This window comes from Homo sapiens, chromosome 13 (genome assembly GCF_000001405.40).
Source record: "Homo sapiens chromosome 13, GRCh38.p14 Primary Assembly".
Classification (NCBI taxonomy): Eukaryota; Metazoa; Chordata; class Mammalia; order Primates; family Hominidae; genus Homo; species Homo sapiens.
In genome coordinates this window covers 74331143-74356693 of record NC_000013.11, presented here as the reverse complement: position 1 = coordinate 74356693, position 25551 = coordinate 74331143, and the positions used below count along the sequence as shown (strand labels likewise).

At 36.9% G+C, this 25551-nt stretch overlaps 1 long non-coding RNA gene across 5 annotated transcripts in view; it reads right to left on the bottom strand.

The window, feature by feature from the left end:
• Positions 1-25551, bottom strand: part of LOC105370259 (uncharacterized) — a 120734-nt gene that overhangs the window by 52110 nt on the left and 43073 nt on the right. For 3 of the 5 annotated variants that reach the window (NR_187793.1, NR_187794.1, NR_187797.1), the window contains exon 2: positions 372-547. The exons of 1 other annotated variant lie outside the window; for it this stretch is intronic. This is a non-coding gene — a long non-coding RNA (uncharacterized LOC105370259). Of the gene's footprint in view, positions 1-371; positions 548-24680; positions 24743-25551 lie in introns of all 5 variants that reach the window. One more of the 5 variants, NR_187795.1, reaches the window with a different exon arrangement.

The following is a 25551-nucleotide window of genomic DNA, read 5'->3' as shown; positions in this document are numbered from 1 at the left end:
CAAAAAGCAAACCCATTGAAATAATGTTTTAAGAAATTGTATTTTACTGTTAGACAAGTCATTCAGTATATACGAACTCTCACTGAAAACAGAGAACTAGAGTAGGAATTTAATAACTAAAGTAACACACAGGATACAAAAGAATGCAGGCCTTAAAAATCCATTAACAGTTACCCTTATATTTTTTTCAATCAACAATGTCTTGATTCTCATTTTGTTAAAGCAAAGGATTTGGTCTTTAGTAATGGATTTAGATGCTAGAGAAAAATTACCAATTTTACTGCGTATGTAATAATCTTTAAAATCTCTGAGTAAAAAAAAAGTATTTAATTACATCTTATTCCTCTACCCCTACCACTTGAAGTACTCACTCTGAAATGACATTAGAGCGTCTTTGAGATGGTTGCAGGTAAAGTAACCATTGCATTTTTCTTTATCAATCTTGGTCATTACGTCTTCTTGATAAAGGATCAAAAAGCATTTTTTGGTATGTCTCAAACATCCGAGTAGTAAATATTCTCTCACACTCTTCAAGTAGGAGTTATACCTAAACCACAAAATAGTTATTTTTCCTTAATGTTAACATGAAATAAGCAGCAATTCCAAAAGTGATGAATAACCACAAAATGAAATCTAAGTGTGAAATTTAACATAAGAGAACATAAGGTATCTCCAAGGTAGTTTTCCCAAATCAATCATGTTTTTTAATCTATTCTAATTCAGGTACTTGCAATTGTGAATATACAACACAAATGTAACTTTCTAAATGCCTTAGGCATTGATGAAATTAGCCACTCATTTCGTATCAATAAATCATTGTTGATTTATTAGTCATATATTGTGCTGCACTTGACAGCTTCCAAAGCTCTTATTCATGCATTAACCCATTTTCAGCTCACAATAAGCTGTTGAGCACACTCAGATGATTATGTTCATTTCACACCTAGGAAAATGGCTTTTCAGAGGATTCGAAACCAGTCTGTGGGTCTATTGCTAATGGCAATGGGGAAACTGGGACACAAATTTAGAACTTGAAGCCTATAGTTGAATCAGACATACTTTTACAATACCATGATGCTCAACATAAGGAATAGTCCCTGACACAGCTGAGACTATAACACAATCAGACAAACAGTCTCTTACAGACTCCTAACCTAATTTGTTACAAGCCAAACAAGTGAAATTCTTCAGAATAATACAAGACAAGAATTCAGAAGTGGTCCCAAAACAGAGCATAATGCATTTCCAAATGAATGAAGAAGAAATGTTTACTGACTTACCCTATTTTATTGTCAATGTCCTTAACTTTATAAAATATAATAGGAAGAAAGAGATATGTCATATGTTAAGGTTGTTAAATTTCTGTACCTCTTATAAGACACCACTATGGATTCCTGAGTGATTACAATAATTTCTAGAATTGGCAAAACAATGTGCAAGTAACATGTTGTACATTTCTCACTTAGTCCTCAAGACAATTCTGAGAGGTAGCTGTTGTTATTCCTACTTTACAGAAAAAGAAGCTAAATCTTAGATTAAATTAACTTTTCCACGCAAACGTAGCTAGTAACTAGCAGTGAAGTCCAGCACTATCATATGATAAAGTCCAGGGTCCTCACCATAAAACTACACTTTTCCTCCCCTCTCCATCCCTCTCTGCAAATAGTAGTAACAGTATCATTCCAAAAACAACATAATTATTTTTTGTTTTCTGTAGATAGAAATCTTCAAATTGAATTATTTATTTATTCAGTATATTTGTATTGTGTCTCTTCCTTGTGCATAGAAATATATTACATGGTTCCTGCTGTAAAAGATTTGCTCTCTATTTGAGAGGATGACACGAAGAAAGAGAAAGAGGGAGATAGAGATCGTAGTATAGAACTACTACTACTATTTGTACCACTAATAATAATAATTGCTACTCAACAGTGGAATCTTATTATGTTGTTGTGTTTTTTTGTTTTTCTGTTGTTTTGTTGTTTTGTTTTGTTTTTTTGAGACGGAGTCTCACTCTGTCACCCAGGCTGGACTGCAGTGAGGCAATCTCAGCTCACTGAAACCTCCGCCTCCCAGGTTCAAGCAATTCTCTGCCTCAGCCTCCTAAGTAGCTGGGATTACAGGCGCCCACCACCATGCCCAGCTAATTTCTGTATTTTTAGTAGAGACAGTGTTTCACCATCTGGCCAGGCTGGTCTTGAACTCCTGATCTCGTGATCTGCCTGCCTCAGTTTCCCAAAGTGCTGGGATTACAAGCTTGAGCCACCGCACCCAGCCCCATGCCCAGATGTTTTAAATGCATATCATGTGTAAACTCATTTAATTCTCACAGTCTTATGATAGTTAGACAAATCAATCATTTATCTGATTGAATATTATGTTGGCTTATGTTTCAAGTTAACACTAAGATTTCCTAATTTTTGAAATGGTATAATAATAGTTCACTTTCTTATAAATCTGAACCTAAATAGTAATTTTAATGAAGTCATTATAGATATTCTTATTTTAAGTAATTCTCAACTATGTAGCTTTATAAGGTCAATATCAAGTTATTCATTAATTTAATAAAAGTCATTGAATATCAATATATGGACAACTTTAGGCAAGTTGCTATTAAGCTTCCTTAAGTGTGACCCAAGCACCTTAAAGGGGCTTATCATCTAGCAATGTAAAGATCCAACATGTGTGTATAACATCCCAGATGATGCAATATGCCACTGCCTACTTGTTTCTCATGCCTCTGCCTCCCTCCGCTACTCAGATGTGTCCATTAATAGCTCCACCAAGTACACTCCAGCCTATTATGTTTCCTAAGATAAACAGGTAAAACGACAGACAGCTGGGCTCGCCACTGGGTAGGTCTTGGTAAATAGTGGCATCCTAGATCTAAATGTTGAGTCATGCAATATATTCATTCACTATGTATTGAGCACCTACTATGAGCACAGTTATAGGCCCTGAGAACACAGCAGTAAACAAAACAAAGCCCCTGCCCTCATGAAGCAGCATCTTGAACAAAATAAGAGAATAAATTGTGTGGACATATTCACATATGCACACAAGATAAATAGTAAGTTCAAAGGCCTTAATGGGAACATGTTTGGCCTGTTTTTAAGCTGGAGTCAAAGCAGGAGGGCAAGTGTTTGGAACTGAGGCTGGAGTTAAGCAGGAGCATGATCGTGCATAGTCAGCTCATGTTGACTCCAAAGGCCATCTAAAACCAAAGGGGGCATGGACATATGCCAATAATAAGTGCCAGTGTGCAGAGAGGTTCCCAAATAACACCCCACAGTTTAGTTTTCCCTTAATTTTAATTCTGTGGTCCACTCAATATCCCCACTCAGAATCCAATCTCAAAACAGTAAATTGGGTATGGAAGCGAGATAGATAACGTTTTAAAGGCAAGCAATGAAGGGAGGAAGGAAGAAATAAGTAATCAATCCAGTACTGTTTATTTAAAATCAGGGATCCATCCTTCAAGTCTGCATAGCTTAAATGGGGTTCAAATATCCTGCTTATCTTTTATTTCTTTTTTCCTGAACTATAATCTAATATTATTCAATATAAATCCCTAATATTTACCTTTCTTCTCTACCCTAAACCACTGTGTTTTATTCATTTTACTCTGGGTTAGTTCCTGATATATGAAAGGTACTCAATGAATGCTGATTGGATTCCTGACTTAATTAACCAATTAAGACACAAATCAGAGGTAGGCTGTGAGGTGCAGAGCTGAAGTGATCTCACAATTACAGCACTCTCTATTGATATTTTTGTCATCCCTGTACCTGGGACTAGACTTCTACCTTGTTTCTTCCTCTGTCATTTGTGTAGTTACTTTTGCTTGCAGTTCAGTTCCTTTACAGGCCTGGAATTGCACCTTAAAACCCAGCTGTTAATTATGAACTGAAAGCCAGTGAATTTTTTTTAAACTTATGTGTTTATTTATTTTACACTTACGTGTTTATTTATTTTACTTTAAGTTCTGGGATACATGTGCAGAACATGCAGGTTTGTTACACAGGTATACAGGTGCCATGGTGGTTTGCTGCACCCATCAACCCTTCATCTAGGTTTTAAGCCACACATGCATTAGGTGTTTGTCCTAATGCTCTCCCTCCCTTTTTCCCCCACCCCTTGACAGGCCTCCGTGTGTGATGTTCCCCTCCCTGTGTCCATCTGTTCTCACTGTTCAACTCCCACTTATGAGTGAGAACATGTGGTGTTTGGTTTTCTGTTCCTGTGTTAGTTTGCTGAGGATGATGGCTTCCAGGTTTATCCATGCCCTGCAAATGACATGATCTCATTTCTTTTTATCACTGCATAGAAGTCCATGGTGTATATGTACCACATTTTCTTTATCCAGTCTGTCACTGATGGGCATTTGGGTTGGTTCCATGACTTTGCTATTGTAAATACTGCTGCAATAAACATATGTGTGCATGTGTCTTTATAGTAGAATAATTTATAATCCTTTGGGTATATACCCAGTAATGGGATTGTTGGGTCAAATAGTCTGGTTCTGGATCATTGAGGAATAGCCATACTGTCATCCACAATGGTTGAACTAATTTACATTCCCAGCAACTGTGTAAAAGCATTCCAATTTCTCCACAGCCTCACAAGCAATGGTTGTTTCTTGACTTTTTAATAATCGCCATTCTGACTCGTGTGAAATGGTATCTCATTGTGGTTTTGACTTGCATTTTTCTAATAATCAGTGATGTTGAGCTTTTTTTCATATGTTTGTTGGCTGTGTAAATATATTTGTTGGCCACATAAATCTTCTTTTTAGAAGTGTCTGTTCATATTATTTGCCCACTTTTTGATGGGGTTGCTTGTTTTTTCTTGTAAATTTGTTAAAGTTCATTGTAAATTCTAGATATTAGCCCTTTGCCAGATGGGTAGATTGCAGAAATTTTCTCCCCTTCTGTAGGTTGCCTGTTCACTCTGATGATACTTTCTTTTGCTGTATGGAAGCTCTTTAGTTTAATTAGACCCCATTTTTCAATTTTGACTTTTGTTGCAATTGCTTTTGGTGTTTTTGTCATGAAGTCTTTGCCCATGCCTATGTCCTGAATGGTATTGCCTAGGTTTTCTTCTTTACATTTAAGGCTTTAATTCATCTTGAGTTAATTTTTGTATAAGGTGTAAGGAAGGGGTCCAATTTCAGTTTTCTGCATATGGCTAGCTGGTTTTCCCAGCACCATTTATTCAATAGGAGATCATTTCCCCATTGCTCGTTTTTGTCAGATTTGTCAAGGATCAGATGGTTGTAGATATGTGGCGTTATTTCTGAGGCCTCTGTTCTGTTCCATTGGTCTATGTGTCTGTTTTGGTACCAGTGCCATGCAGTTTGGTGACTGTAGCCTTGCAGTATAGTTTGAAGGCAGGTAGCATGATGCCTCCAGCTTTGTTCTTTTTGCTTAGGATTGTTTTGGCTATACAGGGTCTTACTTGACTCCATATGAGATTTAAAGTAGTTTTTTCTAATTCTGTGAAGAATGTCAATGGTAATTTGATAGGAATAGTATTGAATCTATAAATTACTTTGGGCAGTACGGCCATTTTCACAATATTGATTCTCCCTATTCATGAGCATGGAATGTTTTTCCATTTGTTTGTATCCTCTCTTATTTCCTTGAGCAGTTATTTGTAGTTCTCCTTGAAGAGGTCCTTCACATCCCTTGTTAGCTATATTCCTAGGTATTTTATCCTTTTTGTAGTGATTGTGAATGAGAGTTCATTCATAATTTGGCTCTCTGTTTGTCTATTGTTGGTGTAAAGGAATGCTTGTGATTTTTGCACATTGATTTTGTATCCTGAGACTTTGCTGAAGTTGCTTGTCACCTTAAGTAGCTTTGGGGCTGAGGGGATGGGATTTTCTAAATATAGAATCATGTAGTCTGCAAACAGAGACAATTTGACTTCCTCACTTCCTATTTGAATATGCTTTATTTCTTTCTCTTGCCTGATTGCCCTGGCCAGAACTTCCAATACTATGTTGAATAGGAGTGGTGAGAGAAGGCATCCTTGTCTTGTGCCGGTTTTCAAAGGGAATGTGTTCAGCTTTTGCCTATTCAATATGATATTGGCTATGGGTTTGTCATAATATAGCTCTTATTATTTTGAGATATGTTCCATCAATACCTAATTTATTGAGAGTTTTTAACATGAAGGGATGTTGAATTTTATCAAAGGCCTTTTCTGCATCTATTGAGATAATCATGTGGTTTTTGTCTTTGGTTCTGTTTATGTGATTGGTTATGTTAATTGATTTGCATATGTTGAACCAGCCTTGCGTGCTAGGGCTGAAGCTGACTTCATTGTGGTGGATAAGTTTTTTGATGTGCTGCTGGATGCAGTTTGCCAGTATTTTATTGAGGATATTCGCTTCAATGTTCATCAAGGATATTGGCCTGAAGTTTTCTTTTTTTTGTTGTGTTTCTGCCAGGTTTTAGTATCAGGATGCTGCTGGCTTCATAAAATGAGTAAGGGAGGAATCCCTCCTTTTCAATTGTTTGGAAGAGTTTCAGAAGGAATGGTACCAGCTCCTCTTTGTACCTCTGATAGAATTTGGCTATGAATCCATCTGGTCCTGGACTTTATTTGGTTGGTACACTATTAATTACTGCCTCAATTTCAGAAATTATTGATCTATTCAGGGATTCAACTTCTTCCTGGTTTAGTCTTGGTAGTATATATGTGTCCAGGAATTTATCCATTTCTTCTAGACTTTCTAGTTTATTTGTGGAGAGGTATTTATAGTATTTTCTGATGGTAGTTTGTACTTCTGTGGGGTCCGTGGTGATATCCCCTTTATCATTTTTTATTGTGTCTAGTTGATTCTTTTCTCTTTTTTCTTTATTAGTCTAGCTTGTGGTCTATCTATTTGTTAATTTTTTCAAAAAATCAGCTCCTGGATTCATTGCATTTTTGGACGGTTCTTCATGCCTCTGCCTTCTTCAGTTCTGCTCTGATCTTAGTTATTTCTTGTCTTCTGCTAGTTTTTGGATTTGTTTGCTCTTGCTTCTCTAGTTATTTTAATTCTGATGTTAGGGTGTCAAATTGAAATCTTTGTAGCTTTCTGATGTGGACATTTAGTGCTATAAATTTCCCTCTTAACACTCCTTTAACTGTGTCCCAGAGATTCTAGTATGTTGTCTCTTTGTTCTCATTGGTTTCAGAGAACTTCTTGATTTCTGCCTTAATTTCACTGTTTACTCAGGAGTCATTCAGGAGCAGGTTGTTCAATTTCCATGTAGTTGTGTAGTTTTGAGTGAGTTTCTTAATCCTGAGTTCTAATTTGAGTGCACTGTGGTCTGAGAGACTGTTATGATTTCAGTTCTTTCGCATTTACTGAGGAATGTTTTACTTCCAATTATGTGGTTGATTTTAGAATAAGTGTGATGTGGAGCTGAAAAGAATGTATATTCTCTTGATTTTGTGTGAAGAGTTCTGTAGATGTCTATTAGGTCCACTTGATCCAGAGCTGAGTTAAAGTCCTGAATATCCTTGTTAATTTTCTGTCTTGTTCGTCTAATATTGACAGTGAGGTGTTAAAGTCTCCCATTACTATTGTGTGGGAGTCTAAGTCTCTTTGTAGGTCTCTAAGAACTTGTTTTATGAATCTGGGTGCTCCTGTATTGGGTGCATATATATTTAAGATAGTTAGCTCTTCTTGTTGAATTGATCCCTGCACCATTATGTAATGGCCTTCTTTGTCTTTTTTGATCTTTGTTGGTTTAAAGTCTGTTTTGTCAGAGACTAGGATTGCAACCTCTGCTTTTTTATTCCCCCTCAATTTGCTTGGTAAATTTTCCTCCATTTCTTTATTTTGAGCCTATGTGTGTCTTTGCATGCGAGACGGGTCTCCTGAATACAACACACCAATGGGTCTTGATTCTTTACCCAGTTTGCTAGTTTGTGTCTTTTCATTGGGGCATTTAGCCCATTTACATTTAAGGTTAATATTGTTATGTATCAATTTGATCCTGTCATCATAATGCTAGCTGGTTATTTTGCACACTAGTTGATGCAGTTTCTTCATAGTGTCATTGTGTTTTTGCAATGGCTGGTGCCAGTTTTTCCCTTCCATATTTACTGCTTCCTTCAGGAGCTTTTGCAAAGCAGGGCTGGTGGTGACAAAAATCCCTCAGCATTTGCTTGTCTGGGAATGATTTTATTTCTCCTTCACTTATGAAGCTTAATTTGGCTGGATATGAAATTCTGGGTTGAAAATTCTTCTCTTTAAGAATATTGAATATTGGCCCCCACTCTCTTCTGGCTTGTTAGGGCTTCTGCAGAGAGATCCACTGTTAGTCTGATGGGTTTCCCATAGGTGACCTGGCCTTTCTCTCTGGCTGCCCTTAACATTGTTTCTTTCATTTCGTCCTTGGAGAATCTGATGATTATGTGTCTTGGGGTTGATCTTCTCATGGAGTATCTTTGTGATGTTCTCTGTATTTCCTGAATTCGAATGTTGGCCTGTCTCGCTATATTGGGGAAGTTCTCCTGGATAATATCCTGAAGTGTGTTTTCCACCTTGGTTCCCTTCTACCATCTCCAAGTTCAGTCTTTGTACATAGTTCCATATTTCTCAGAGGTTTTGTTCATTCCTTTTCACTCTTTTTTCTCTAATCTTGTCTAATGCCTTATTTCAGTAAGTTGATCTTCAATCTCTGATATCCTTTCTTCTATTTGATCGATTTGGCTGTTGATACTTGTTTATGGTTCACGAAGTTCTTGTGCTATGTTTTTCAGCTCCATCAAGTCACTTATGTTCCTCTCTAAACTGGTGATTCTAGTTAGCAACTCCTGTAACATTTTATCAAGGTTCTTAGCTTCTTTGCATTGGGTTAGAACATGCTCCTTTAGGTTAGTGGAGTTTTTTATTACCCACCTTCTGAAGCCTACTCCTGTCAATTCATCCATCTCATCCTCCAACCAGTTCTGCGCCCTTGCTGGAGAGGTGTTGAGATCATTTGGAGGAGAGGAGGCATTCTGGCTTTTGGAATTTTCAACATTTTTGCATTGTTTTTTCCTCATCTTCCTGGATTTATCTACCTTTGATCTTTGGGGCTGATGAACTTTGGATGGATTTTTTTTTTTTATGGGGGGAAGGGATCTTTGTTGTTGTTGTTGTTTTTGCTTTCTGTTTGTTAGTTTTTCTTCTAACAGTCAGGCCCCTTTTCTCCAAGTCTGCTGCAGTTTGCTGAAATTTCACCCCAGACCCTGTTTGCCTGGGTATCACCAGTGGAGGCTGCAGAACAGCAAAGATTGCTGCCTGCTCCTTCCTCTGGAAGCTTCATCCCAGAGGGGCACTGGCCTGATGCCCGCGGGTCTCCTGTATGAGCTGTCTGTCGACCCCTGCTGGGAAGCCTCTCCCAGTCAGGAGGCACAGGGTCAGGGACCCACTTGAGGAGGCAGTCTGTCCCTTAGGAGAGCTGGTGCGCTGCCTTGGGAAAATATCTCCCTTGTCAGGATCAGCCACTCTCTTCAGAGCTGGCAGGCAGGAAAGATTAAGTACCATGAACCTGAGACCACAGCTGCCCCTCCCCCCACCCCAGGTGCTCTATCCCAGGGAGGTGACAGTTCTGTCTGTAAGCCCCTGACTAGAGCTGCTGGATTTCCTGCAGATGCCTTGCCCAGTGAGGAGAAATCTAGAGAAGCAGTCTGACCACAGCCACTTTGCTGTGCTGTGGTGAAATCCACCCAGTCCGAATCTCCCAGTCTCCTTAGCACTGTCAGGAGAAAAACGCCTACTCAAGCCTCAGTAATGGCGGTTGCCCCTCTCCCAACCAAACTCCGTGGTCCCAGGTGGACTCCAGACTGCTGTGCTGGCAGTGGGAATTTCAAGCCAATGGTTCTTAGCTTACTGGGCTCCGGGGGACTGGGAATCGCTGAGTGAGATCACTTGGCTCCCTGGCTTCAGCTGTCTTTCCAGGGGAGTGTACAGTTCTCCTGTCTCACTGGAGTTCCAGGCACCACTGGAGTTCCAGGCACCACTGGAGTATGAAAAAACTCGGGCAGCCCTGTGCCTGCCCCAACAACCGCCCAGTTTTATGCTTGAAACCCGGGGCCCTGGTGTTGTAGGCTCAAGAGGGAATCTCCTGATCTGCGGATTGAAAAAATCTGTGGGAAAAGCATAGTACCCCTGGCAGGTAGCACCGTCCCTCACAGCTTCCCTTGGCTGGGGAGGGAGGTCCCCTGGGTCTATGCACTTCCCACGTGAAGTGACGCCCTACCCTGCCTCTGTTCACTCTCTGTGGGTTGTGCCCACTGCCTAACCAGTCCCAATGAGAAGAACTGGAAGTGCAGAAATCACCTGCCTTCTGCGTTCGTCTCACTGGGAGCTGCCAACCAAAGCTGTTTCTATTCGGCCATCTTGGCCCCTCCCGCCAAGCCAGCTAATTCTTAGCAACCATTCTTACAGAGGGCTAAGGCGTATCTTTTTATTTCCATCCCTTTGGCAAGTGGGCTTGCCCTATTCAAAAATTTCTCAAATCCGTTGCAATACCACTAGACTTCAAGGATGAAAGTTAACCAAAAGTCTGAGTGGGACTTCTTACACCATCTAAAACATACTTGATCTTCACATGTTCTTTGGACACCAAGCTTCAAACCATCACTGCTGTTTGCCATGTAAATATGTCTTTCTCTCCTGTAACTTAAAAATTGAGATCTCTACCAAGCCTCAGCATCTTCTTTTCCAATGTTTATTCAATGCAGAGGAATGGGTACATGCAGGCGGGTCCTTGAAAGATGGAGAGTATTATGAAAATGGAAAGATAGATCAGGATTTAAAGATATTAGAGAAAAAAGAGTAAGCAAAGATACAGAGACAAAAATGCAAATTAATTCCTGCAGGAAACAGAAAGTATTCCTGTTTAGAGCGTTAAGTTTAATTTCAAAGGTTAGACTGAAATGATCAATAACATATGAAAATAGATGACTACACATAAGCTAAATCCTTATATGTAGGAAAATCATGCATATTAATACAAATTACTTTCAAGATGGAATGTTCAAACATAAGCATATTAATACAGTTTATTAAATAAGGCAACAATATGGACAGGGAAACAAGCCCCCAAACTTGCCACTTGCCCCATGAAAGGGATGCAAGTTCCCCACCCTCTAGCCAAACCTGTGACTATTGGGACTGGACTCACCCTCCCCATGGCAGGGTTTCAGTGTAGCAGCAGCTGCCTCTCATCCAAACATTCTGCCAGAGAGGCCTGAAGATCACCCTAACCTGACCTATGATGGCTGGTGCATGCACTCACTTTTGGGGGGCCTAAATGCAAGCTTGCCCAGTCCAACTCTGCCCAGTTTCATCCACCTCAAAACAGAGTATTGGATCCAGAATTGTGGAGGTTCCACAACCCAATCTACCACCTGGGACATCTGAGCACTCCACCTAGGTAACTGAGGTTGGACAAAAACTCCTTACCACTACCACCTCAGCTGGCTCCTACCTGCAACCATCACCAACTGGCCTGGAGGTTGGCCAACACAGCCCATTCCAACCACTACCAACATAAGGGTACACAATGCTTGGGACCTAGAAGAGAATCTCACCATGACTGCTACTGCCATCAGTCATACCACACCGACTTTCCATAGGCTTGAGAGCCTGCTCACTTCCCGCGTACACCACTGCTATAATTGCCACCCGAGAAGGCCACCCAGAGGCCCAAGAACTAGCTTGACTGGAACTGCCAAGTGTCAGCATATGCCACCCCAGGGAAGAAGGATAGATGAGCTTAGTCCACCACCACTGCCACTGAAACCTGAAGATAGGCCCATCTGGCATTCCAATCCCCAGCACAACTATACCACAGCCTCCACCAATAACCCTAGTCTAACACACCAGGGAAACCACAGACACAACTCTAGTCAAGAAAATCATACTTAGATTTCACTATAGCACATACCCAGAAGCAAAAGCAAAGGGCCCTAGCCAACCAATATCAAGGTCACAACTTCAGGAAAAAGTTTCTCTTCTAATGTAAGTAAATTCAAAAATAAGATGTGACTTTTACATCATATGAACAGAAGTCAATGGAAAGACATGGGAAACATGAAAAGAACGAGGTTATATGACACCCTCAAAAGAATACAATAATACTCAGAGAAATTCTTGAAATCCCTGATAAAGAATTAAAAGTACTGATTTTTAAAAAGTTTGATGAGATGCAAGAGAAATCTGAAAGTCAGCACAACTCAGAAAACCAATTCAGGATAAGAATAAAAAATTTATTAAAAAAAAGATATCTTAAAAAAAAACATAAATTCAACAATAGACTAGTCCAAGCAGAAGAAAGATTTCAGAACTTGAAGACGGGTCTTTTGAAATAATCCAATCAGACAAAAAAATAAATTAATTAAACGGAATGTACAAAGCTGCCAAATGGTGACATTGGGACACCATAAAGTGACCAAATTCATGAGTTACCAGTATTCCCAAGGGTAAAGAGAGATCAGAAGGTTTAGAAAACCTATTTAATGAAGTAATAGATGAAAACTTCCCAAGTATAGCAAGAGAATTAGATACTCAGATACGAGAGATTCAGCAATCCTACAGAAAATACAATGCAAAAGACTTCATCACAGTACATTGTAATCAGACTGTCTAAAAGTCAAAGTGAAAGTGCTAATTCTAAAAACAGCAAGAGGAAACTTCCAGTCATCTATAAAAGAAACACCATCAGACCAGCAGCAGACTTCTCAGCAGAAACCTTACAGGTCAGGAGAAAATGGGATGACATATTCAAAATGTCAAAGAAATAAAACTGTTAGTCAAGAATTCTATGTACAACACTATTAACCTCAATAAATGAAGGAGAAATGAAGTCTTTTCCAGACAAACAAATGCTGATGGAATTCATTACCACTAGACTGAAATTACAAAAAGTACTCAAGAGATTCCTAAACTTAGAAACAAAAAGATGACATTCACCATCATGAAAACACTTGAAAGTATAAAATTCACTGGTAATGCAATTACACAAAGAAGGAAGAGAAAGAAATCAAGTGGCAAACATACAGAATTCCAACAAACCACAATGACAAACAGAGAAAAAGAAAGAAACAAAGAATGCATAAAGAACTAGAAAACAATTAACAACATGACAGGAACAAAACTTCATGAATCAATATTAACCTTGTACATAAATGAATTAAATATTCCACTTAGAAATATAGATTGGCTGAATGGATTTTTAAAAACATGATCCAACTATATGCTGCTTTTAGAAACTGACCTTACCTGTAAAGATACATGTAGATGAAAGTAAAGGATGGAAAAAGATGCTCCATGCAAATGGAAACCAAAAGTGAGACAGAATAGGTCTACTTATACAGATAAAACAGACTTTAAATAAAAAACAATAAAGTAAGACACAGAGGTTATTATGTAATGATAGATTAATTCAGCAAGAGGATATAACAATTCTAAATATATATCCACCTAACACTGGAGCACCCAGATTCATAAAACAAATATTACTAGACCTAAGGAGAGAGACAGATAGCAAAACAATAATAGTTGAGGACTTTAACATTCCACTCACAGCATTAGACAGATCATTCAGACAAAAAAAAAGTCAACAAAAAAAAATACTTAAATTAGACTTTTTTTTTTTTTTTTTTTTTTTTTGAGACGGAGTCTCGCTTTGTCACCCAGGCTGGAGTGCAGTGGCGCGATCTCGGCTCACTGCAAGCTCTGCCTCCCGGTTTCACACCATTCTCCTGCCTCAGCCTCCCGAGTAGCTGGGACTACAGGCGCCCACCACCACGCCTGGCTAATTTTTTGTATTTTTAGTAGAGACGGGGTTTCACCATGTTAGCCAGGATGGTCTCGATCTCCTGACCTCATGATCCGCCTGCCTTAGCCTCCCAAAGTGCTGGGATTACAGGTGTGAGCCACCTCCCCCAGCCCTTAAATTAGACTTTAGACCAGGTGGACCTAAAAGACATTGACAGAACATTCTACCCAACAATTGTAGAATATACCTTTTTTTCACCAACACATAGAATATTCTCCAGTATAGATCATATATTAGGACACAAAACAAGCCTCAACAAATTTTTAAAAATTAAAATTATATCAAGCATCTTCTTAGACCATAGTAGAATAAACCTAAAATCAATACCAAGAGGAACTTCAGAAAGTATACAAACACATGGAAATTAAACAACATATCCCCAAATGACTATGTTCAAGTCAAGGAAGAAATTAACACAGAAATTTAACTTTTTTAAACAAATGAAAATGTAAACACAGCATACAAAAACCACTGGGATGCGACAAAAGCAGTGCTAAGAGAGAAGTTTATAGCATTAAATGTCTACGTCAAAATAGTAGAAAGATTACAAATTAACAAGCTAATAATGTACCTCAAGGAACTAGGAAAGCAAAAACAAATGAAACCAAATTTGGCAGAAGAAAAGAAATAACAAAGTTAAGCGCAGAACCAAACAAAATAGAAACTAACAAAACAATACGAAGGATAATGAAATGAAACGCTGATTTTTAAGAGATAAACAAAATTGATGAACCACTAGCTAGACTAACCAAGAAAAGAAGAGAGAAGACCCAAATAAACAAAATTGGCAATGAGAAAGGAAACATTACAATTTATACTACAGAAATACAAAAGATTACCGAAGAATACTGTGAATAATTATATGCTCACAAACTAGAAAACCTACAGGAAATGGATAAATTCCTGGAAACATTCAACTTCCCAAGATTGAACCAGGAAGAAATAGAAAACTTGACCAGACCAATAACAAGTAGTGAAATTGAATCAACAATTTTTAAAAATCCTACAATGAAGAAAAGTCCAGGACCAGATGGATTCACAGCTGAATTCTACCAAACATACCAAGAAGAACTAATACCAATTCTTCTGAAACTTTCCAAAAAATCAAGGAGGAGGGATTTCTCCCTAATTCATTCTATAAGGCCAGTATCACCCTGATAGATGACACACACAAGTAAAAATACAGACCAATATCCCTTATGAACATAGATGCAAAAATCCTCAACAAAATACTAACAAACTGAATCCAACAGCACATTGAAAAGTCAATACACCATAACCAAATGGGTTTTATACTAGGGACACAAGGATGGCTCAAAATACACAAATCAATAAATGTCATATATCATATAAATAAAATCAAGGACAAAAAATATATAATCATCTCACTAGATGCAGAAAAAGCATTGGATAAAATTGAGCATTTCTTCATGATAAAACCCCTCAACAAACTAATCATAGAAGGAGCACAACTCAAAATAATAAAAGCCATATATGAAACCCACAGCTAACATCTTATTGAACAGGGAAGACTTGAAAGCATTTCCCCCAAGAACTGGAACAAACCAAGGATGCCCACTTTCACCCCTCCTACTCAACATAGTAGTGGAGGTTCTAGCCAGAGCCTCAGATAAGAGAAAAAAATAAAAGTCATTCAAACAGGAAAACAGCAAATTAAATAATCCGTGTTTTCTGATGATATAATATTACATATAGAAAAACTTTAAGCTTTTACCAAAAAAATTTTAGATTCGATAATTGATTTTAGTCAAGTTTAAGGATACAAAATCAATGGACAAAAATCAATAGTGTTTCTGTACACCAATGATGATCTAGCTGAGAATGACACCAAGAAGGTAATTTCATTTACAATAGCTTAAAAAAAATACTTAGGAATACATTTAACCAAACAGGTGAAAGATCTCTACAAGGAAAACCATAATACAACAATGGAAGAAATTGTAGATTAAAAAAGCAAATAGAAAAACATTCCATGCTCCTGAATAGAAAGGATGAATATCATTAAAATGACCATACTGCCCAAAGCAATGACTTAATGCAATCCCTACCAAAATACCGCCATCATTTTTCACAGAATTAGAACAAAAATCCTAAAATTTGTATGTAACCAAAAAAGAGACCAAAGAGACAAAGCAATCCTGAGCAAAGAAAGCAAAGCTGGAGGTGTCACATTATCTAACTTCCAATTATATTACAAGACTATAGAAGCCAAAACAGCCTGGTACTGGTATAATAGAAGACGCATCAATCAATGAACAGAATGGAGAACCCAGAAATAAAACCACATCCCTACAACCACCTGATCTTTGACAAAACCAATAGTAACATACTTTGGGGAAAGGAAACCTTTTTTAATAAATGGTGCTGGGAAAATGGGATTGTCATATGCAGAAGAATGAAACTGGACCTTTATCTCTTACCATATACAAAAATCAACACAAGATAAATTAAAAACTTAAATGTAATACCTGAAGCTATAAAAATACTAGAAGAAAACCTGGGGAAAATTCTTCTAAACATTGGTTCAGACAAAGAATTTATGACTAAGACCTCAAAAGCATAGAGAACAAAAATAAAAATTGACAGATTTAAATTAATTAAAATTAAAAGCTCATGCACAGCAACAGAAATAATCAACAAAGTGAATGAACAACCTGTAGAATGGGGAAAACATCTGCAAACTACTCATTCAACAGAAGACTAATATCCAGAATCTATAAGGAACTCAAACAAGTCAACAAGGAAAAAAACACCCCTGTAAAAAGTGGACGAAGGATATGAACATACATTTTTCTTCAAAGAAGACATATGAGTGGCCAATAAACATATGAAAAGATGCTCAAAATTACGAATCATCAGAGAAATGTAAATTAAAATCATATTGAGACACCATTTTTGTTAGAATGCCTAATAATAAAAAGTGAAAACACAACAGATGTTGGCAAGGATATGGAGAAAAGGAAATTCTTACACACTGTTGGGGGGAATGTAAATTAGTACAACCTCTATAGAAATTAGTAGAGCTAAAAATAGAACTACCATTTAATCCAGCTACTATTTAATATATTAGTGAGTATATTTAATATCCACTACTGATTATCTACGTAAGGGAAAAAACATCAATATATCAAAAAGATACATGCACTCATATGTTTATCACAGCACTATTTACAATAGCAAAGATGCAAAATCAACCTAAGTGTCCATCAGTGAGGACTGGATATAGAAAATGTAGTACATATACTCAATGAAATATTTTGCCATAAGAAGGAATGAAATCACATCTTATGCAGCAACATGAATGGAACTGGAGGTCATTATCTTAAGTGAAACAAGCCAGGCACAGAAAGGCAAATATTGTATGTTCACACTCATAAGTGGGTGCCAAAAAATGTGTATACATGGACATAGAGTATGGAATGATAGACGTGGATACTTGAAAGTGTGAGGGGGAAGGACGGGAGTGGATGATGAGAAATTAATGAATGTAACGTAAGTTTTTTGGGTAATGGATCCCCTAAAAGCCCTGACTTGACCACTACACAATCTATGCATGTAACAAAATTCCACGTGTGACCCCATAAATTTTTTCATATCAAAATTTAAGACAATAATATTCTGAGAGTAGAAATGGGGTAACTTTAGATATGGAAGACATTCATTGGCCAAGGACTTGAGGATTATCCTTGGGTGTAGAGTGATAGCTGGTATGAAAATGATAAGGTGTTAAAATATTCAAAGTATCACAAAACAAAATACATGAGTCAGACAAGATCCTCCCCACAGCAGGTTTAGCCTTTCTGATATGTTCAAATATAAGGGTGTCTCCATAAAGGCCACTCTACCACTTAAAATAAATTCTGTTCAGGCTACTGAGGGTGCAAGACACAAGAATTTGGTAAGACAGTTCTGTATTTAAATTTTTACTCCTTTTTTCCAGCAGCTGCAGGGCATTAGGCCATTTCTAAAACCTCTCTAATATTGCTTTCTCCTGGTGGAATATAACTACCTCAGCAGTTGCTAAATGGATCACACAAAATAATCTAAGTACATGTTTCTAACACTGTGCCTGGGATATAATAGATGCACAGCAAATGTCAGTTTTCACTGCCCTCTTAAGAGGAATTATTCTTTCTTATATCTATGTCCATATTAGGATAGTGCACATCTACTTTTACTATTGAATAGAGGACTAAAGCAGAGAATTATTATTGTACTTATACTTTAAACAATTCTATCAACATTAAGAAGAATACTAATAACCATATCATCATAAGGGAAGCAAGACATGAATGCTATGTCATCAATTTTAAGACCTTAAGTTCAGTATGGTAAGATGAGAAGTAAATGAGAGTAATGGGAAAAAAATGAATGGGATAAAAAAGAGCCATGGCAACAAATTCTAAATGAATAAGATGTCCAAAGACATTATCAAGATTTATAATATTACCCCATACGCCCTTTCTTCTTTCTTACTCACATTTTTTTTTTACTTTTGTCCCTTTCCTGCACTTTCCAATTGCAATTTCCTCCATATCAGAAGAACCAGTTCCATACCACATACTGTGCTAGGGACTCAAGATACCACAGGCAGACAAGGTAAATCCATACCCTCAAGAGGCTTAGGCTACCCAGTAGTGAAAGACAACTTTAAAATGTCATGATACATGTTGAAGAGGTTTTACAGAGTGCTATGAGAGCAGAAAATCAAGTGGAGCCTGGTTTTGCTTGAGAAAGGACAGGTACTTCATAGGGGAGGTGACAACAAAACTGAGCCTTGAAGATTGAGTACAAATTACACAACTACACAGGGATATTTGGTTACAGCATGTAACTGTTATTTCTCTTACTGTCATGCACCCAACCATCAATGCTTGTATACATATGCACAAACACACACACACAATCCTTCCTTCACATTCTAATACTTCTCCTATTTTCCAGAGATTTAAAGTTATTGGCGGAGGAAACGATCTAGTCAGGAAACTAATCTGTATCAATTATTGAGAATTCTTGGAACTTAAAGCAGCAAATTTTACTTAAAAGATGATGACAAGTAACTAGTTCTTGTGATTACAGCATTACCAGAAATCTTAGGTTTTCACAGCAGACCTGCTAAGCTGAGATTAAATAAACCAGCAGACCTCAAACTAGAGAGTATATCTGATTCTGTGGGGAGACAATAAACATTCCGATGCACAGGCATTTCACTTCCTTTTGTCCCCATTTCTGAAACCGTGAGGACTTGCTAAATCAAAATTCTGGTGATAGAAATTGAATTTGAGGAACTAAAGAATAAAACTCTCCATGTAAATTAATAGCTTTCTTCTTAGGAAATGCATACCTATGTATATTTCCATTTGCACTTTTACTAAAACAAAATTTTGCTTGCAGAAAAAAATGTTATGCAGACATGCCCTTAGAGAATAATGAGTTTTGATATTTACCAAGGGATGCAAAAATTTTCTTAATGCTAATAAATTAATAATGTTCTAAGCCTCCAAACCACAGGTTGTTAATTTAATGGGATGTTTTCAAAGTAATTCTAATTGTATCTAATTATAAATATTTTGTGTCTACAGTTTCTTAAGAAGAATGTCTTTTTTGCATGATTTCTAAGCATAAGGAACATGAGCAATTTCCAAAAATTATTAGAACAGAATTTTCTTATACTACAAATGTTTTTCTCTCTGTCTCCATTATTACAATATGCTGCATCAAATGCCAACAGCTAATTTTTAAAACCAAGCAAAAAAAAAGGTCAAATAATTTTGTTGTAAAGATGACTATTTTCTAAAAAAAAAAAAAAAAAGAAAGAAAGAAAGAAAGAAAAAGAGCATATTAGAAAAAAAAATCATCTATTAGAAGTAGCTATCCAGATGGAGATGTAACATGAGATGAGCTGTTTTGTTATTACTGTTGCTGTATAATCCAATTATTTTAGTGAGTGATTCTATTGTCTTATATCCTGAAGCTTTAGGAAAATAACTTAAGGGGAGTAAGAATTTCATCCATAGAGATCCAAATCGAGTTAGGCAATATTTTGGATTGGTGTCAATGTGTTTTTGTTTCATCTGTTTAAAAATGCATTGCTGCCAAAGGATGAGTTTTCTACTGCTGCATAAAATTCTGCCACAATCTTAGTGGCTTAAAACAACACACAGTTTTCAGTTTTCAACACACAGTCTCACAGTTTCAGTGGATCAGGAGCCCAGGCTTAGCTTAGTTCAGATTCTAACAAGACTGCAGTCAAGACATTGGCCTGGATGTGTTCTCATTTGGATGCTTGACTGGGGAAGAATTAACTTTCACATTCATCCTTGTTCTTGGCAGAATTTATTAATACTTTCTTTCAGCTGTATGCCTGAGAGCCTCACTTCTTAATAGCTGCTGGCTGGTGACCACACTTAAATCCTAGAAGTCATTCTGAAGCTCCATGTCACATGTTCTTTTCCATGGACATCTTACAACATCATTTGCTTCTTCAAAGCCAACAAGAGAAACTCTATACAGTCTTCTGAGACAGAGTCTAATATAATGTAACATAATCATGAAAGTGGCATTCCATCATCTTTGCCATATTCAATGGCTTAACATGAATCTGTTCCCACTCAAGGGGAGGAGTTTATATAACAGCATGACTCAAGAGGGGTCACCTCAAGGTGTGTCTCCCAAAATCAGAAATTTTACTGAACATTTAAAAATTTACCTATTTATTATCTTCTCTGTGCCCTGTAATATATTTCTTATGAGACCAGGAAAATTCTGTTAAAATTGTTCTTTTTTAAAAAACTATTTTTTATTAATAAAATCTAAGCAGAGAAACTAATCAAATATTTGTTTTAAAAGTTACAGATGAATTAAATACAAACACGTAAACTACACACAAAAGAGTCCATTCATGATTTTTGAATTTTATAATTTTGTGTATTTTTTAATAGTGACTTCAATAACTTACTCTTAGTTGTCTGACTTTGTCAGTTGTCTTGACTTTCTAATAATCACTCCCAACTAAATATATTTAGTAATCATATTAATTATGACATAAACTGAATAGATATAACAAAGAAGCCAGTAATACATTGACTGAAATAAGGCAGAAGTTTTTTCTCACACAACAGACTGGCCAGTATGAATTGGCAGGGCAGCTCACTTGTATAAAGTCATTCAGTGACCTAGGTTTTTTCCTATCTTCTAACCATGTCATATTTTCTTTGCCTGCTTGGCCAAAACAAAGGCATTGTCCATTTTCCAGGAAACAGGAAGGAGGAAAGAGCCAAAGACCAGGGCAGTAAGATCTGTTCACATCCCATTGACTCAAAAGTAGTCGCAGGTTGCACGTAGCTGCAAGGAAGCAGCAATAATCACTGGCTGTATAGTTTTGAACCCAGGACAAAGGGAGAAATGGATTATAAAAAATAACTAGTAGCCTGCAGTAATAGTAAAACAGCTTATCAGAGTTCCTGATTAACACGAACAAATCAAATTACAGGCGTTGCCTGATGACTTGGATCATTGCATCACACCTGGAATGTACAACCATTGTATCACATCTAGAATACAAATGTAGGCCTCCTTCGAAAGGCATGCATTTGCTCACTTACAAAATAAAATTAGTATAGGTTTTCCTGTATTTGCCTTACAATGTTGTTGTGACGAATAATCAGAAGATGATATTTCTTCAATATTGCTCTCTTGAGGTTAATAGGCTGCGTCTAGTATGATAGTTGCACAAAGCCATTATATGAGTAACACAATTTTCTCTTTTGACAAATACAAGATTATTTTTCTCTAGAAAATGAAATAAAAATGTCAACATTCTTCTTTTTCTATAAAACTGTAAGGAATTCTCTTTTTGAATATTCATGGCTTTTAATTTTCAAATTCGTAATTTCCCAAATTGTACCTAATTGTGATTTACCAAAGTATTATGCTCTTGTTTTTACAAGTCTTATTTGGCTTGTTATAGGCAGTATGAGCAAAATTCTTTCTCTGTGTGCAAAATGTTGTGTTGAACAAGTTGTCTCCCTTATAATACAAGTTTCCAGAAGAACTAAGCAAGAGCTCTTCCCCCAGACATAGCAAAATATTATTATGATTATTATTTTCAATCTAAATATTTAACCTCCCCAAATCATCTCTACATGTCTTAAGTGATAATTATAATAGTAAAATATTGTTTTCTCATGTAGTGATTATATACTCCAAAGAGTCCTGGCCCCATTAAAAGAGTATTTTAAGATACGTAAAAGAACAAAGGCACAAGTTTATGATTGTAGATGAAACATGGGTTACTATACCTATACATTAGCTACATAGAAAGCACAAGTGTAAGAAGGGGGAGATGAGGCCAGGCACCGTGGCTTACACCTGTAATCCCAGTACTTTGGGAGGCCAAGGCTGGCGGATCACCTGAGGTCGGGAGTTCGAGACCAGCCTGACCAACATGGAGAAGCTCCGTCTCTATTAAAAATACAAAATTAGCCGGGTGTGATGGCGCATGCCTGCAATCCCAGCTACTCGGGAGGCTGAGTCAGGAGAATTGCTTGAACCCGGGAGGCAGAGGTTGTGAAGAGCCAAGATCACGCCATTGTACTCCAGCCTGGGCAACAAGAGTGAAACTCTGTCAAAAAAAAAAAGGGGTCGGGAGGAGATGATGAAAATAGACATCCAGCCACATGACACTTTAATCCATTGATGTTTAATCTGATCCTGATGCCTCTCCACTCATCATACACACAAAAACGTACCAAGCTGTTTCTCACCTAGTTCTTTGCTCAAACAAGCTTTCCTGTCTGGCTTTCTTTTGTATCCTCTCCTCTTCAAACCAGCTCATACTCATTTTTAACACTCAGTTCAGCTGTTACCTCCTTTGGAGGTCTTTCTGGGCCTCACAGAATGGGTTGGGTCTCCTCACCCCGTAGGTCTCTGATTACATTTACTCTGACGTGTTGATCCCTTTTTGTATCTGTCTCCCCACTAGGCTGGAAACTCCTTGAAGACAGCCATGCATTTTGTTCTTCTTTGTATATAGATGCTTGATACATAATGCACATTGAATAAATGTGTGTTGAAAAATAAATCAATGAATTAAAGAATATTATAATATCTATGACGGAATATAATGCTACATTATGAAATAGTAGGGGTGCTAGATTAGGGGTCTAACTTTTCCAAAATTATTTTCAACATTCATTAAAATAATTATTTCAATGATCTGCATAAAAGGGGAAAGAGTAAATTAATTTGTTTGCATCCATTGAAGTACAGTAAAAAGAAAAAAATTTAGAGAGTAAGTTAATTTGATTAAGCATCTGTTATGTACAGGCACTTTGCTGGCACAAATACATTTTCTCATCCATTCATTCATTCAACAAATATTCAGAGTGCCTACTATGTTCTAGCAGAGTGCCTACTATGTTCTAGATACTATGTATCTATTTTAGAGATACTTAGTAAACAGTGGAAAAAAAAGATAAACCCTGCATTCATGGAGCTTATATGGGAGACAGGAGGAAGTAGGCAGGGAGAGAATAAGACAGAAAGTAAACAAGAAATATAAGTAAAATATATGAAATAGTGCTAAGAAGTATACCAGGAAACATGAATATGAAATGTCATAAGGGCTGAAATTTTAGATTACAGAGGCATGAAGCGCCTCACTGAGAAAATGAATTTGAGTAAAGACCTAAATTAAGTGAAGGTGATGGCCGTGCATCTATCTGAAGGAAAACAAAAGATAGGGCAGGTAAAGGAAGAACTGAGAAAGTTATTTTAGATTTATCAACATGGAGGTCATCATGATTTTTCAGTAGAGAGGTAGAGGTGAAAATCTGAAGTGGGTTCAAGAGAGAATGGGAGGAGAGAATTTGGCAAAGGCAAGTCTAGTTTAATCTTCTCAACAACTCTGAGGTAAGTAGTTGGAGTTCATTTATTGATGAAATTGAAGCTTGAACATGTTAAATAATTTGCAAGAGGCAGAGCCAGGATTCTAATTCAAGCCAAATCTATTTTCCCAAAAGCTCTCCAAGTTATCAAATTGTTCTTGGCAATTGTGATAATCAATGTCAGCTCCACTGCATGATAAACAATTGTTTAATGGTTGATACATAACTGATCATTATTTCAGAAAAAACTATGGTTAACTAGAAAGCCATTAAATGAATGACTACATGAAGACATGGACATTGGTTCCAACACTTGGTAAGGCACACAATTCAACAAAGAATAAGTGTCCTACACAAATACTAGCTCAACAAACTAATCAGATTACAAGATATTCATGCATCGTCCATGCAAAACATTAAAGTAGATTCTACCCATAAGATTAAGAGTCAGTCAGGCTTAGGACCTACTCTCTTTCAAACTAAGAGGAATTACAAATTAGAGTATTGTAATTAGATAGTTGTTTAGGTGCTTTTCTATGTTTTCATTCTTCAAGAGTGTGTGTGTGTGTGTGTGTGTGTGTGTGTGTGTGTATTTACTTTCCTGTAGATTAGATTGTTTTCCTGGTTTTACATACTTGTAATACTTAGAAAATGTGGCAAGGGAGATCCAATTTTATGATGATATATATCAAAGAGATAAAGTAGAAGAATGTTTTTTATTATAAAAGATTTCAAACATAAAAAATATGTAGACAGAATTGTATAACAAATTCCATGTGCAGCAACAGTTACTGGTTCATGACTAATTTTGTTTCTATCCTCACCTACCTCCCTCTCTCACTGTCAGATTATTTTGAAGTAAATAACAGACATCATATTACATCATCTGTGTATGTGTTGGTGTGAGGAGATTTAAACATAAGTCACATGGCTTACTTACACGGTAAGAAGGTAAAAAACATAAGTTCATCATCTTCATTTGTCAGTACCCAAGTTCAAGTTCTATAAGAATAATAGTATCTATGTTAGATGACCACATGACTGAACAAATTCAATCTTGGAACATGCATGTTTTTAACTGCATTTTGATTTTTACTTCTAGGCTACCCCATATTCTGGTTCTATATTCAGTTCTTTCCTATTGTGTCCCCCTGTTCTGGCCAGTTCTCTCTTCTCATTCTCTTTCATTAATACCACATTCAAACTCCTTTTTGTCTCTCTCAGGTCTAGAATACCACTGCCCTTCATTCAAAACCAACACCTCTCTTAAGGTTCAGCTCAAGTACGACATCCTTCAAGAAGTCTTCCTGGAGTAGTTCAACCTCTCCATTTCTTAAATCCTATTGCTGTTATAGTTTAAACTTCACTATTCAAGACTTTACTATATATAATCTCCTGTGTTTGCTTTTCCCACTTGATAAGGAGCTCCTATATACCAAGAATTATAATTTATAGCTGATTTATGGTTTAAACGTCATACCATCTGCCACAGAACTAGTTATGTAGCAAGTGTTTGATAAATATGTATTAATTTATTCATGGATTTAGTGGATCCGGGTATCCACCTGGGACTGGAGATGTTGGGTTGAGTGAGTGTCTTAGCATGTAATATATTCATTTAAATGTTCTAATTGCTAAACTTCTCCTAAAGATATATTTACTAATAACCTAGAGTTTGCTCACACATTTTAAAAAATCAAGACTCTAAACTCTTCAAGATGTGAGATTTACCTAATCATGATAACACTCCTGACTTAGATTTCTTTGCTATTTATTTTTTGTGAAGTCTCTGAAAGTCATCTTTTTAAGAA